The sequence below is a fragment of the Homo sapiens genome, chromosome 1 (genome assembly GCF_000001405.40).
Source record: "Homo sapiens chromosome 1, GRCh38.p14 Primary Assembly".
Lineage (NCBI taxonomy): Eukaryota > Metazoa > Chordata > Mammalia > Primates > Hominidae > Homo > Homo sapiens.
Window position 1 is genome coordinate 93,326,671 of NC_000001.11, and position 16,069 is coordinate 93,342,739.

General features: G+C 38.0%; 1 long non-coding RNA gene across 1 annotated transcript in view, besides 1 other annotated feature; it reads right to left on the reverse strand.

Annotated features, from left to right (window-relative positions):
* Nucleotides 1–16,069, reverse strand: part of CCDC18-AS1 (CCDC18 antisense RNA 1) — a 35,703-nt gene that overhangs the window by 16,562 nt on the left and 3,072 nt on the right. The window contains exons 2-5 of the long non-coding RNA NR_034089.1: nt 13,788–13,840; nt 12,979–13,009; nt 12,687–12,866; nt 10,707–12,604 (exon numbers count right to left, since the gene is read on the reverse strand). This is a non-coding gene — a long non-coding RNA (CCDC18 antisense RNA 1). The remainder of the gene's footprint in view (nt 1–10,706; nt 12,605–12,686; nt 12,867–12,978; nt 13,010–13,787; nt 13,841–16,069) is intronic.
* Nucleotides 2,482–2,591: an enhancer, noted in NCBI's record as "active region_1329". NCBI's record gives its function as "activates an Ori minimal core promoter by ATAC-STARR-seq in GM12878 lymphoblastoid cells {active_cell/tissue: GM12878}" and the evidence as "EXISTENCE:reporter gene assay evidence [ECO:0000049][PMID:35858748]".

Sequence of the window (16,069 nt, forward strand, 5' to 3'; positions counted from 1 at the left end):
GGAAAGAGAAGAGCATAAACAAAGTTTGAGTACTTGAAATTACATGATGTATAAATATATTTTTAAAAATCTTACAGGCTGGGCGTGGGTGGATCACGAGGTCAGGAGATGGAGACCATCCTGGCTAACATGATGAAACCCAGTCTCTAATAAAAATACAAAAAAAATTAGCCAGGCGTGGTGGCACACGCCTGTAGTCCCAGCTACTCAGGAGGCTGAGGCAGGAGAATCACTTGAACCCGGGAGGTGGAGGTTGCAGTGAGCCGAGATGGCGCCACTGCACTCCAGCTTGGGTGACAGAGGGAGACTCTGTCTCAAAAGAAAAAAAAAAAAGAAATACAAACGTAAGCCAGATAGACATAGTCCCTGACCTTACACAGCTTACTCTCTTAAATAAGCAATCACAATAAAATTTGGTAGGTTCTTAAAAAAGAAAAGATGAAATATAGATAGGATTGTTAGATAAAATATAGGATGCTCAGTTAAGTTTGAATTTCAGATAAATAATGTATAATCTATTAATTACTATAAATATGTCCCATACAATCTGGAAACTCTATCAAAGTTCAGAGCAGGAGCTTCAAAGTTAGTCCAAGAAGATAATAAAAGGCTTCCTGGAGGAAGGGACATTTAAACTGAAACCTAAATTTTACCTTATGTGCCAAGTTCTTATCAATGGCATTTCTAACTAGAATTTAATTATTTCTGCAAAATGCTTTCTGCTCATTACTGGGGTGTGGCCTTTGTCTCTCTCTCTCTCTCTCTCCAAAGTGTTCTTCCCATAATGTGAAGAGGAGAAAGATCTTTTAAATCTTTTTATATAAAAGAATAATTTACAAGTTACAGATGCTCCTCAACTTATGATAGGGCTAAGTCCCAATAAACCCATCATAAGTTGAAAGTGTCCCTAAGTAGAAAGTGTACTTAATACAACTAACCTACCAAACATCATAGCTTAGCCTAGACTACCTTAAACATGCTCGGAACACTTACATTGCCTACATTTGGGCAAAATCATCTAACACAAAGCCTATTTTATAATAAAGTTTTGAATATCTCATGTAATTTATTTAATTTTGTACTAAAAGTGAAAAACAAAACAATTGTGTGATTACTAGAAGTACGGCTTCTACTGATTGCATTTTGCTTTTGCAACATTGTAAATTCAAAAACTCCTCAATCAAACCATCTTAAATCGGGGACTGTCTGTAGAATCTAAGCTGAAAACTCCTTCTCCCCATTGGACAGAAAACAGTTGCCACATAACTTCCTGTGTAACATTATTAAGTATCCATCCAGATTAGAGTAGCTCAAGGTTTTAAGATTGTATTCCTTTATGCCATACTAATTTAGGCCACACAAACTATTAATTGTTGGTGTAATTTTCCAAATGAATTATTTTTGTGTATTTTCCAAGTAAAGTACTTTTGAGATTTAATAAAAAGAACTGGCCTTATGTTGATATACTGGAAATGCTATCCCAGCTTTGTCCCTGCCTGAGTCTTTTCCATCCTTCTCTGCCTTTCTTCCAGTGCAATCTATGGCTAATGTGCATTACAAGGCCAGATGTTTCTGGGGAAAACTACAAACAAACAAACCCTTGCTACTTGTCAATAAGTGGTACTACAAATATCAGAATATACATCTATATTTTTTAGTGATAGATTATTTGAATCAGTCCATTTATTAGCATTTAAATTTGTTACCACCAAATCAGTTGAGCAAGATGTTAAGGGGGTGAAATAAATTCTTTTGGACAAACTTGGTCGTTGTCACTTGTAGAGAAAGACAATTGCTTATTTTTGTAGCAACTATTGTCACAGACAAAAACAAAAAACAATACTTCTGTCAATTCCCTTTTAGTCTGAGTTTCAAGGTCAAGAGATGCATCAAGAAAGTATATCTGTGTAACTACAGAAAATCACATCCCTGACTGCCCCAGCACAAGGCCTAGGCTGTTTCAGGCAGTTCCTCTCTAATGATACTGCATTCCCAGAACATTTAAAAATTATTCTTGAGAACTACAACCAAGAAATGGTGGTCGGGGGGAGAACTAGGTCAGTCCAGAGTCACATGGAGAAGTGTCTTCTAGACACTTTTTGGAATATCTTGATGGCTCACAATGAACCCATTAACTGGTCCCCTCAGCTATGGCAGAGCTGTGTACAACGTCCCCCATCCTCCCTCTGGCCAGTGACTGGACTGGAAATAGGCTGCTGACTCAAGCTGAGCAGAGTCCCTTCCCAAGGAATCTGGAAGTGGGGATGGGAGCAGAGAGAGTGTGTCTTTCCATGTGGTTGGAACTGTAAAAAGTAAATATGAAAGCTGTGGCTGCCATCTGCCAGCTGCCATATGGCTTGAATAACTGAGAAAGCCAGATGCTGCAGAAAAAAAATGAACTGAGAAACAAAGTAAGCTCTCTCTCTCTGAGTTCCTGCTGATATTTCCATTTCAGTGTCAGCTCTTTTGACACCTGGTTGCTTGCATTCCTGCCTTAGCTTCGTGAGATGCTTCTATTTTCTTATGTTTCCCCTTTTCTACCTAAAACAGTTCAAAGTTGGTTTCTACTCTTGATAAACAAACACCCTGATGAATCCTGAAGGCTAGGCATTGTCCCCACCAATCTCTGGTGAGGCAGTTGTTTATCAAGAGTTGCCCTGTGATGTGCACATTGCTTTCTCCTTAGCAAGGTGTTCCACTCATCAGTCCTGCTAGGCAAAACAAATGAGAAAAGATGCACGAAGCAGAGTGGGAAGAACTGGACACAACTGAGTTGAAAGCTAACCATATTACTTATTTGCTGTTTGACCTTAAACTAGTTTCTTAAGGTCACTGAGCCTCTGCTTATTTACATATTCACATCTGCCTTGCAGGATTGATTAAATGAAATAATTTATGTCAAAATGAGATTATGGTTCTTGGAGCAGTAACTGTAATGATATTGTCACTTGGTATCCATGGACACATTTAAGGCTCTCTTCCACAGGAAGCAATGAGATAAATATTTAGACAGTTTTCAATTTTTCTGCTATTAACAGAATTCTGCAGTGAACAACCTTGTAACTAAATCTTCAAGCACACTTTTTTTTTTTTTTTGAGCCGAGTCTCACTCTGTCGCCCAGGCTGGAGTGCAGTGGCGCAATCTCAGCTCACTGCAACCTCCGCCTCCCAGGTTCTAGCAATCCTCCTGCCTCAGCCTCCTGAGTAGCTGGGACTACAAGGGCCCATCACCACGCCTGGCTATTTTCTTTTGTATTTTTGTAGAGATGTGGTTTCACCATTTTGGCCAGGCTGGTCTTGAACTCCTGACCTCACATGATCCGCCCATCTCGGCCTCCCAAAGTGGTGGGATTAGAGACATGAGCCACCACACCCAGCCAGCCTCTTGAGTAGCTGGGACTATAGGCACATGCCATCACACCCCAGCTAATTTTTGCATTTTTCATAGGGACAGGGACTTGCTATGTTGCCCAGGCTGGTGTCAAACTCCTGGCCTCAAGAGATCCTCCAGCCTCAGTCTCCCAAAGTGCTGGTATTACAGACATGAGCCACCATGCCCAGCTGTGATGTTTCTTTTTAAAAGGAAATTGCCAGCCCTTCAGGGCCTCTCTTTCTCCCTTCCCACAGACTGGAACTCAAACCCAATTGAGACCATGTAAATGAGGACAACACCTTAGGGAATGGCAAAACAAAGACTGAAGTACTTTAGGACCCTGAATGACTGCATGGAACAGAACCCTGCTGGAGCCCGAAGCACTGACCTCTGACCTCTTACCTCTGACATGAGATGTCTCTTTGCTACAGAATCTCAGTCTTATCTTAATAGCACAGGGGGGTCAATACATCTTTTATTAGTTACAGTAAGGCACTTTGGAGTACTAATTAAGTTTTATACAATGAGCAGGTTAGGTATGACTTGACATCATCCGTAACAGCCAAAATGATGTATCCTCCACCTACATGTTCCAGTATTTCATTTGTTAGTATTATTCATACCCGCATAAAGAAAATTTTCCTTCCTTATAAAAGTGCAGTGGTTTCAGTGCTAATCATTCCCTGCTTCCTCTCCACAACAGTTCCTTCAGTGTTAATGCACGGCATCTTAACTGACAGCAAGCTACTGAATTTCAGGTATATTGCTGACCTAAGCGGATTTAAGCAAACAGTGGGTAGTTCTTTTGTTTATTTCCAAGTCTGAACTTGCAGTTGATTATCTGCAAATATTTTGTAGGATTATAGGTAGATTTCCAGAGTTAAATTAGTTGTATAATACATTATGGAGACTACAGCCTAATTTTTTTTTATAGCCTAATTTTTATAAAAGTAACTCCCTTAGTATTGCAGCAAGCTCAATGTTAACTGCTTCTCCCATATGGTCACTTGTGGATGCTTATATTAAACTGATGCGCTTTCATTATACATTAATGTTGGCTAACGTGACAGCCTCTAAGTAATCCAGATTACATATGGATGACTCTGGAAATAAAGTGAATATTGAACATTCATGCAAATGATTTCTAAATAGATGTTTAATATATTCCTTGCTTATGTAAATTAAATTGCTTTGTGATTAACACCTTCTTTGTTCCCCTTCTCTCAAGGATCATAGAGTTCTGTGCTTTCTATTGTCCAATGTCTGAAAACAGTTGGTTTTATTTACTTTATTTAATTTTATGGCTATTTACTGGGGGAAGGTAAATTCACTATTCTGTTATGGCTGAAACAGAAGTCTCTCGGAAACTTCGAATCCTTTTTTTTTTTTTTTTACCCTAATGCTATATAAGAATTGCCTTATATTAAGTAAATATTCAGGAATAGAGACAGCCCTAAGAACTGGGTCATGTCACTAGCCCTCTTCAGTTGCAGTTCACGGATCCTCCACCTTGACAATAACCATGATTCTATCCATTTCTCCTCCCTTGTCTGCTGCTACCACCAACTCCTCAGCACCTCCTCTATACATGCATTGCAAGCTTTCTCCTTTCTCATAACTTTGGTATGCTGAAGATTTATACTGGCCTTTCTCTATGAATCCTTTCAGCTTCAACTTCAGCTCTGTATTGCACATGGGAACTCTTGAAAAGACAATCTGATCCTGTCCCTCTCAGGGGAGAAACTTTTGGGCCACAGCTTTTTTCTCAGCTATAGCAAGGAAAGCAGATAGGGAAAAGAGGTGAGTTGGTCACTATGTGCAGAATATGGCCAATCAGAGAAGTTCTGCTAAAGGAGCAAGCAGGTGTGGCAGTTGCTGAGATTTGCCTATAGCAGTTATTTACTTACATGTCTATGTCTCCTAATTTTAAGCTTTTTGAGGTCAGGTGCCATGTTTCAGGTATTCTTCAATGCTTAGTGCCCAGCACATTGCTTGGTACATAGTAGGTTCTCAATACATTTTACTGAATGAATGAATGAATTGATGAATGGCTATCTTGGCTCCCCAACTAGACTGTTAGCCCCCTTGATTGGCCTCAGAGTAACATAGATCCTTAAAATGAACAAATTACAAGACTACTTTGGGGATTGTTTTAAGAAATCCTGTTTAAAAAATAATTGAAATGCTAGCCAAAGTGTTTTTTGATTTTGCTTTAATGATTTTAATTAGTATCCAACATCAATTCTTAATCTGTATACAACAGTTCTGGAGTGACCTGGATAACAATTTGTTTGCTCATACACCTTAAGTACTCCCCAAATAGAATGTATAAAAGTACTAATTTAGATTGGTTTTGTGTAATCTGTGAATAAATAATATTTTACAGCAGTTCTCTGGGTAATGAGAGTCACTCTGTACAGATAGTAGGTATGTACTTAAATATTTATACATTTCCCTCTGAGCTAGTAAGTCATTGACCCTGAAGCTGGAATGAGGCTGGTTTGCACCTTGGAAAACTTAATCGTTCCCATGGTAACACAGAGACTCTTGCCTACCACTTCTTCCCACATCTTTGTTATATTTAAAGCAAGAAATTGTTATTTACTTCATATTTGATATGTTGATACAATTTTCAGGGCACAAATTCCTAACCTCAGCCATTCTTGTGTATAAAATATTGCCATAGTAACAATAAAAAAACTGATTATAAGTAATAACTTATGAACTGAAAAATGATCTGTCAATTCTATAGCATTTTAGAGTTCAAAAAATGTTCCCTCAATTTTGCGACAATTATCAAGATGTTGGGATTAAAAACATATTTAACCAACTAGTGAACTAATGATTCTTACATATTTTGAAAAGACAACTACTAAGTTACTTTACATGTTTAAATTTAAAATATTTTTTGCTTATCAAAAAATAATTTCTGTTCATTATAGCAAAGTTAGAGAATAAAGACAGGCAAAAAGAACATTTAACAATCCAGTAATCTCCATTTCCCATGGTTATTATGTCTTTTCAGTATCTTTTCAGTGTGTGTATATGTGGAGGTGATGTGGCGATGGTGTTGAAGAGAGAAAGAAAGAAGCTCATCTCCCAATAAATTTTGTTCTGTATTCTGATTTTTTAAAACTTCATATATGCCGGGCATGGTGGCTCACGTCTGTAATCCCAGAACTTTGGGAGGCCGAGGCGGGCAGATCACGAGGTCAAGAGATCAAGACCATCCTGGCCAACATGGTGAAACCCTGTCTCTACTGAAAATACAAAAATTAGCTGGGTGTTGTGGTGCGTGCCTGTAGTTCCAGCTACTTGGGAGGCTGAGGCAGGAGAATCGCTTGAACCTGGGAGGTGGAGGTTGCAGTGAGCTGAGATCGTGTCACTGCACTCCAGCCTGGCGACAGAGCAAGACTCCGTCTAAGAAAACAAAACAAAACAAAAACTTCATATATTATGAACATCTTTTCAAATATATTAACTATAGTGTCATTTTTATTGGTTGAATAGTGTTGATGTTTGGTTGAAGGAATTTACCATACTTTAGTTAACCAGTCCTCTTTTTGTTGGTCATTTTCATTTTTCAGTTTTTCACCAATATCAAACATATACCAAAAAAAGATAAAGAAAAAAGAAAGAGAGAGCAAAGAAGGGAAAGAGGGAGGGAGGAAAGAAGGGAGGGAGGAAGGAAGGACACTGCAATGAACATCTTGTGGCACACATTATTAATTACCTTCTCTAATACTGAGTATTATCTTTAAAAATAATCCTTACCAATTAGATAGGCAAAATGGTATTTTAATGTTGCTTTGATTTGCATCTTTTATTATTGATGGAAATGAAAAAAAAATCTTTGCTGACCCTTTTCATTTCTTCTTTTCTGATTTACCAGTACAAGTCCTTTGCCCATTTTTCTGTTTGGCTATTTATCTTTTCCTTACTGATATGTAAGACTTCCTAATTGTTAGTCCTTTTTTTTTCTCTTTCCATTTGGCACTTGCCCTTTTTCTTTTTCTTTTTTTCTTTTTTCTGAGACAGGGTCTCGTTCTCACACTGTTACCCAGGCTAGAGTGCAATAGTGCAATCATAGCTTACTGTGGCCTCAAACTCCTGGGCTCAAGCAATCATCCCATCTCAGCCTCCTGAGTAGCTAGGACTATAGGCACACGCCATTATGCCTGGCTTTTTTTTTTTTTTTTTTTTTTTTTTTTTTTTTTTTTTGGAGAGATGGGGGTCTTGTTATATTGCACAGGCTGGTCTCGAACTTCCCCGCCTCAAGTGATTCTCCCATTTCAGCCTCCCAAAGCTGGGATTACAGGTGTGATCCACCATGCCCAGCCTGCCCTTTAATTTTTTGGTGACTTCTAAAGCACAGTTTTTAGTTTTTTAATATTTAAAAAATAAATATTTTACTTAATGTTTCACATAATATAATCCCCCCTCCCAAGACTATACAAGTTTTTCTTTATATTTTCTTCTCGTAAGGCTATGGTTTCATTTTTATATAAAATCTTTAAAATCATCCAAATGCATGAAAGTCACAATAAATCACTAGAAATTTATTTTAGAACATGGTGTATTTTTTCCCTCCAAACAATTGGCCAATGACCCTTTCATTTATTGTATAGTTTATATTTTCCTCACTGATTATAAATGTAACATTTTAAAAAAAGAGATGGGGTCTTGCTATGTTAGGCTGAAGTGCAGTGGCTATTCACAGGTGCAATCACAGTGCACTAAAACCTCAAACTCCTGTGCTCAAGTGATCTTCCCATTTCAGCCTCCTGAGTAGCTGAGACTACAGGCTTGTGCTACCATTCCCAACTTGAATGCCACTTTTATTATCTATCTACTTGGGTCTGAATAACATTGAATTTTAATGTGAAAATACAAAGATGCCCCACGTATCTAACCATTTCCCCTCTGTGTGTGTTGCCTGGGACCTCTTCAAAAGCTGTTTTTAATCAGCTATTGTGTGGAGGGAAAATAAGGTTTCATTTCAAATGCCAAAAAGATACTGAATGAATCTCTTTAAAATTAAATCAGAAAGTGTTATAAATATTTTATAACAGTGTCATTGCTAATGCAGACTTGTATTGTGAGATATTATAATCTAAGCTCTTTTATTGCTATACATCTGGGCTATGATGGCTTATATTTTATGATCATATTTTGCTCATTAAGCCAATAAAATATTCCTAATTAACTATGGGTGATATATGCATTAATTATATATTTATTATAATTACTCAGGGGCTAAGTATTATTTATGAATTTAAAATGATCAAGGCCGGGCACAGTGGCTCACACCTGTAATCCCAGCACTTTGGGAGGCCAAGGTGAGCAGATCACAAGGTCACGAGTTTGAGATCAGCCTTACCAACATGGTGAAACCCGTCTCTACTAAAAATACAAAAATTAGCCGGGCGTGGTGGTGCGCGCCTGTAATCCCAGCTACTCAGGAGACTGAGGCAGGAGAACTGCCTGAACCCGGGAGGCGGAGGTTGCAGTGAGCCGAGATTACACCACTGCACTTCAGCCTGGGTGACAGAGCGAGACTCCATCTCAAAAAAAAAAAAAAAAAAAAAAAGATCAAACACATTTTGCATACATGGGTACCTGTATGTGACCAGCTGGTAGATCTTAAAGCCAAATGTATTGGTTCATGTTTTTCCAATATAATCAATATAATTATACCAAAGAAATAGAAATCGATTTTGTTATCCTTTAAAGCTCCCAATACTAGAAAAGCATCTGCGTAGGTTTAAGTTGTGCTTAAGTTGTTCCTTTCTCCCAAATACAAGAAAATCACAAAGATACATATTTCTGTTCTAAATATAAACAGTAACCCTAATTTTAGTTTTAATAAAGACGATAGGTTTGATGGTGAATGCCATCATGGTGAACTGGTATTTAGACAGTGACTTTCTCAATCACTTTGCCTGTAATTTAACCACATGCCACTTGCCATCATATGCTCCTGAAAATACTATAATTGGTCACTTAATCAATGTACTAGCTCATTGTAGTAAATGTTGGCCTTAACCCATTTATGCCAGAGGTTGCAAATTTTTTTGTGTGAAAAATCAGACGATGACCTTGAGCATAGGATATAAATAACTCCCACAAGCTTAGCATTCCAATAATGGAACATTAGGAATAAATAGGTTTTAACCAAAACAATGACTTAGGTCAAGTTACATAACCAAGCTTATAAAGGTGAATTTGCAGAATTTTATATTAGGTCATTTCAAAGATACATGTAACTCACTTTTCTTCCCATATATACATTCCAATAAGACATTTCAGGCATGTTTTGGTGCATTTGATAGACGTCAAAAATAATACTTGCTGTCAAAAAACAGCATTAAATCCTGTGTGAGCCTGACTGAAAAAAGAGCTACAATGTGATTACCAAGAAAATGGTCTGCGAATTGCTTGGGCAGAATCTCTAAAGCCTGTTCTTTTCCCAGTGCTCATTTACAGTGAAGAAAACAAACCAGGTGGCAGGGGAATTTAACTTGAAAAGAGGCTTATTTTCCCCTCCCGAGACACAAATTTGATTTTATCTCTTGGCTCATATTACAAAGTGTGGCTGTTCTCCAAATTAGCTGGAGGATGATTTTTAAAAAATGTTTCTCACTTCCTTCCCCTTAATCATGCTTTCTACAGTGTATTGAGAATATCTACCTCTTCATCTCCTCAAGTCTCTCACAGATCATTTCTCATTTCGCCGCCTTCTAACTTCCTGTTCTGTCACAAAATCTCTTGATCAATTCTCTCTACTTTTCTTGTAAAATCCCAACTTTATGTGCTAGGCTTAAAGCCACCACCATTTTTAGAAATCCGCTTATCACATGATAAGCATCATGCCTCCACAAAGGGTATCTCTATTTTTCTTTTCTTTTTTTTTTGGAGACGGAGTCTCGCTCTGTCGCCCAGGCTGGAGTGCAGTGGCGTGATCTCGGCTCACTACAAGCTCCGCCTCCCGGGTTCACGCCATTCTCCTGCCTCAGCCTCCCGAGTAGCTGGGACTACAGGCGTCCGCCACCACATCTGGCTAATTTTTTGTATTTTTAGTAGAGAGGGGGTTTCAACTGATCTTGATCTCCTGACCTCGTGATCCACCCACCTCGGCCTCCCAAAGTGCTGGGATTACAGGCGTGAGCCACGGCAACCGGCCCACAAAGGATATCTCTATTTCATAAATGAAAAAGACTGAGCTTAGAAAAATTCAGTAGCTTTTTCTCGCTCACAAGACTAGTAAAATTTGAAGAGGAAGAGGAATATGTGACTTAATCCCAGGTATAGAAGGCCCAGGGCCTACACTTACTTTCAATACCAACAATGCAGGGGCAGTATAACGTAACTATGAAGAAGAGTTGTTCTGGAGCCAGACCGCATGAGCTTCAATCCTGGCTTTGTCACCTAAGAGTTAATCTAAATTTTTTGTGTTTCAGTTTCATCATCTGTAAAATATAAACCATTTACTGAACAACTATTCATTGGTTCCCAATCATTCCACCTCAGAGTTGTTCTCTGATGTGCTGTCTTGCTTTTGTTTAATTTGTCACATTTTATGCTGATGATCACCAAGGGCTTAGATGTCTAAAAATGAAGGCTTAAATCACTCTATTAGGAAAAGCCCCCCAATCAGTTGGAATAGTAACTGTAAGCAGGGAAACTTGGATGGGTAGTCATACATACTAGCTATGGCCTCATAAACTGTAGTGAGAATGAGTACTCCACACATATTGCTGGAATGTCTGAACACTGAAAAATTACCTATTCCTCTTCCCTGCCTTTTTTTCCTAAAAGACAAGGTCTTGCTCTGATGCCCAGGCTGGAGTGCAATGGCATGATGATTGCTCACTGCAGCCTCAAACTCCTGAGCTCAATCAATCCTCCCACCTCAGTCTCCTGAGTAGCTACGACTACAGGTGCATGCCACCATGCCTGACTAAATTTTTTTTTTACTTTTTAGTAGAGACAGGGTCTTGAAATGCTGCCTAGGCTGGTCTTAAACTCCTGGCCTCAAGAGAGCCTCCTGCCTCTTTTTTTCCTTTTAAAATAAGAACTATCACTGTTTTCTTCTCCTTCCTTTTTTTTTTTTTTCTCTCTAGCAACTATTGCCACCCTGGCCCCAAAAGTTATTTATAGAGTACATTGGTAGTAATTATACTTACAATTTAGTCCATGGAGTGCAGGACCATGAGGAACTATAGCTAGATAAGATTGTGCCAGAATTAGAAGAATAGACATTTTACTTTCAGAGACCATGACTAAAAGAATATTAACACCAAGATGCTCCTTCCATCAGCTGGATGTACCTTTGGGCTTGGAAAGATGGCAAGTATAGGAGTTGTACTGGAACGGCTGGATCAAATAGGTTGAAGGCATTTTTGTCATTGTACATGTGGGGAAAAGCAACCAAGTAATAAGACACAACAGATATCTCTTAAGGCACCGACACAGCTCACAGTGACACCTCCCTCCCCAGCACAGCGTAAGGGTGGAACAGTAGCAAAATATCTATACACATAACTTGCAGATGAATCATGCCTGAGTAACATGGACGTGGAAATATGACCCAAATTGGGCAAACAGACTTGTTTTCCCAAGAAACTGGAATTTTGATGTGAGATGCATAGAGGGTGAGTTGTTTACAGCCCACCAGGAGGACAGTTTATGGATTCCTACCAGTGAGTTTCCCAGAGTTTCCCTGGTTATTCAACAGTTCCCAAGATTCCATGAGATACCCCAGTATCCTTCCACTAAAGTCAACTTTATGAGCTGCAGTTGTTGTTTGAGCCAGAACCTTAACTACTACACTTCCCCAAATAGCCTTCTCTCATGTTATTCCTTTATGTGTTCCTTTCTCTCCACCAAAATAGCAAAACAGAAAAAACAATTGGGCTTACCAAGAATGCTGTGATATTTTGACTCACTGAGCTTTGGCTGTTTCCCTGCATGAAATTCCCTTCTTCTTCTTCCTGAAACCTTGTTCAAGGATACTTCAACTATGATACTTACCATTGTCAACCCCTAGTTACTTGCTTTGATTTGGAAGGTCGTCCACTGTGCCCTGTCACATCAAAATCATGGCACTTACCATACTGCACTGTGTAGTCTTTGGTTTACTTGCCTGTCTCCCCCATTAGATGGCAAGCTCCTTGACAGCAAGGGCTACTTCCCATCTGACTGTATTTCTCCAGTTCTTTATTACAGTACCTAGTGCCCAGGAGACCCAGTAAGTAAATAGATAAATGAGTAAACAGTTTCTGCTTCAATATGAGAACATGATTAAGCTTACCTGCTTGAGGAATGTGAGGAAAACAGCCAATGTAAAACGGCCACACCCTTTCTAGAGCTGATGACAGCCAACTCGTCCCAAATGTGGAAGTCCAGCGAAAAATCAGCAGAGCCACCTACCCAACCCACAGTTGACTTAGAAGATAATTCCAGAAGAGCTGTCCAACTAATGCAGAGACTCCTAAGAAAAAAGGTATAGTTATTGTTGTAACCCACTGCCCTTTGGGTGGCTTCTTAGGCAGCATTTTTGTAGCAATAAATAACTGGTGCAATATCTGTAGGTTAGATTTTACCTGAGGATCACCAACTTGAGAGCTTTGTTTGCTAAAAAAAAAAAAAAAAGGTTGTAAATCCAAGGATTGCTTTTACAAATCCCACTGTGAATGTGAAGAATGGATATATTTATAAATCAGTAGAAATAATATTTCTCACTACTTAATAATGTTTAAAGATTAGTAGAAGACATTTTTAAAAAGAATAATTTAAAATTAAAAAAATTTACGGGATAATCAAAAGTAAAACCACCAATAACTTCTTTATTCTAGCACACACGTTTGCATTTCTATTGAGCCTTTCTCCATGTACATATGTATTTTCACGTTGTTCTAATAACAATGTTGTATTTAGTTTTAATATTAGAGGAAAATTACCATATTCATATATAATATTCATAAGTATTTTCATGCCTACATAAGTTATTCAAATAGATTTACTATAATTAATCATTGTTTCAATTGTTTTTAAAAGTTAAATTAATATTTTTCTATTACCAACAATACAGCAAATAGTTTTTTCTTCTTTTGGTATTACTTCTTCAGGCAATAGACATTGTCTTTCTTGTTTATTGCCATATCCCCTCATAACCCCAGTAACTAGCAAAGTATATGGTAGACACTAATAAACATTTCTTGAATGAAAGCAATGCATGAATGAGTAAATGGAATTTACAGAAGTAGGCTTTCCAGTTCCATCTGCTTCAAATGCTTTTTAAACAAAATTAGCAGGACTGAATTAGATTCAACATTCACACCATTTGAAAGAAAAATTTATTTGCATCACAATTTAAACTTATCATCTATAGATAAAGAGATTTGCTATTCACCTCAAAATCTGAGTTAGTTGCATAGTTGACCCACAGGAATGTATCAGCTTTAACTGAAAAGACCAAAAAAAAAAAAAAATTCTAAGGTGTTTGTTCATGAACTGTTTGTACAAATATACTGGATATATACCATTTATTCCCAGTTCTCATCCTCCTCTGCAACGCTTGACACTTTGGGCTACTTCTTTTTCTCAAACTTGGTTGGTTGTGTATCTGTTTTTGTGACAATGAATTTACACAACTTCTCTTGCTGTTTCTTTGACCCCTCCTTTGCCCTTGCCTGTGGTCATTCTCTAAATATTTCCTTAGTCTTCTGCTCTTCTCCCTTTGCAATCACTGTCTATAATCACTCACCTATAATTTGGCTTCAACTTGTCCTTTCTGTGAAACATGCTCAGATCTGTATACCTAATCCTGATCACTCCATCTGTGTCTTTTCAATCTCATCCTCCTCCATTTCTTTGAGCTTCATTTTGCTTGTATTTTCAATCTGCTTCTCTTCTCTGGCTCCTTTCCCTTGAGCTACATGTGCCTTTGCAATTCCTCCTTGACCCTGCTTCTTCCTTAAGGTGTTTTCTCATTGCTCCCTTTTCCTTCACCACCAAACTTTTTGAAAGAGTACTCTCTGCTGCCTGGCTCTAGTTCTCCCCCCATTCCTCTTCAGTTCTTTGCATGTTGACTTCCGATCTCTCTTCCTGAACTTTTACTTCAGTAACACTATCTTTGATCCCCTTCCAACAATGCCTCTCTGTGGCATCTCACACTCTTGTAACTCTCTCCCCACGACTTCCTTTACATAATGCTTCTTGGTTTCTATCAAATCTTTCCTCAAATATTTTCTTCTTTTTGCTTTCTGTCTTTGAACATTTTTCAAAAAATTCTACCATCCTTAAAGGTCTTTATCCAGTTTCAAAGTTAACAAATATTTATTGAGTGCCAAGGACTGTCCTGGCTCTGGGGATGCAGAAATAAACCAGACCCTCACTGGCTCTGGGTACTTACAGTCTAGCTTAAACAAACCCTGCTATAGAGGGACTTGTTACATAGCCCTACTATATGATCCCACATCTCCGCTGTCCAACTCTCACTGGATACATCCATTTGGATAGCTATTTCTTTCTCTCCATCCAAATCTACCTCTTCTTACCATCATTGTCCCCACCTCCATTATTATTTAGGCACGGTCCTCGTATCTCACGGTAGATGCAGGCAGAAGCTAAATCCTGTAAATTCTGTTTCCAAATGCCTCTAATTTGTTTCTTTTATCTTATTATCACCAAACTTTCTTTGTTCAGGTCTACATCATTACTATTTTTACAATAGCTTAATAATTAATGTTCTTGTCTCTGTCCATTCCAGACCATCTCACATGCGAACTCAAACTAATCTTTTTAAACATTATTGTTTATGTCATCCCCCTTCTCAAAAATGTTCACTAACTCTTTCCACTGCTTACAAAAGGATCTCCAGACTTCTTAAAATGATGTGGAAAGACTTGAGACTTTGTAGTCAGAAAGCTTGGGTTGCATTTCCAATCTGCCACTTATTCACTCTGTGACCTTGAATAATCTCACTGGGCTTCAATTTTCCCATCCATCAATTGGGATTAATGACTAGTTATAAAGACCAAATACATGTGAAAGTGCTTTATATTTTTAAAGTCCTATAATGAATATAACCTTTTTTCCTTTTTTTTTTTAATTTAGAGATAGTTACCAAATTACAAATAGCTTCAGCTTTGGAGTTAAGTAACAACCTGGTTTGAAATTTCAGCTCCATTACTTATTATCTGTGAGACTTTGAACAAATTAGTAAAACTCTCTGAGACTGTTTTCCCCCCATGTCAAAACACCTATTTTGCATGGCTATATGGAAATTAAATGAAATAGCAAATATGAAAAACTTTTGGCCCAGTGTATAATTCATATCAGGCACTGATCTGTTTTCTTTTTGCCCTAACCTACTTTTCCTGCATCATATACCACTACACCTCTTTACAAACCTTATTAATAGAGCCACTCTAGACTACTTTATTTCCCCAAGCCATACAATGTACTTTTGTGTTTTTTCTTCAGCTACATGCTCTTTCCTTCCCTATCAAAATTGTACTCAATCTTCAAGGTGCAGTTAAAATATCCAGTCCTCCATAAAACCCTTTGTACTCCACAACTAGTGTGTTAATCACTTCTTCCCATGCATTCTTAGCCTGTATATTTTATCACAATATTTATTTGAATCTGGTTTATATTCTGCTTCTCCCACCAGATTATAGGGTCTTCAAG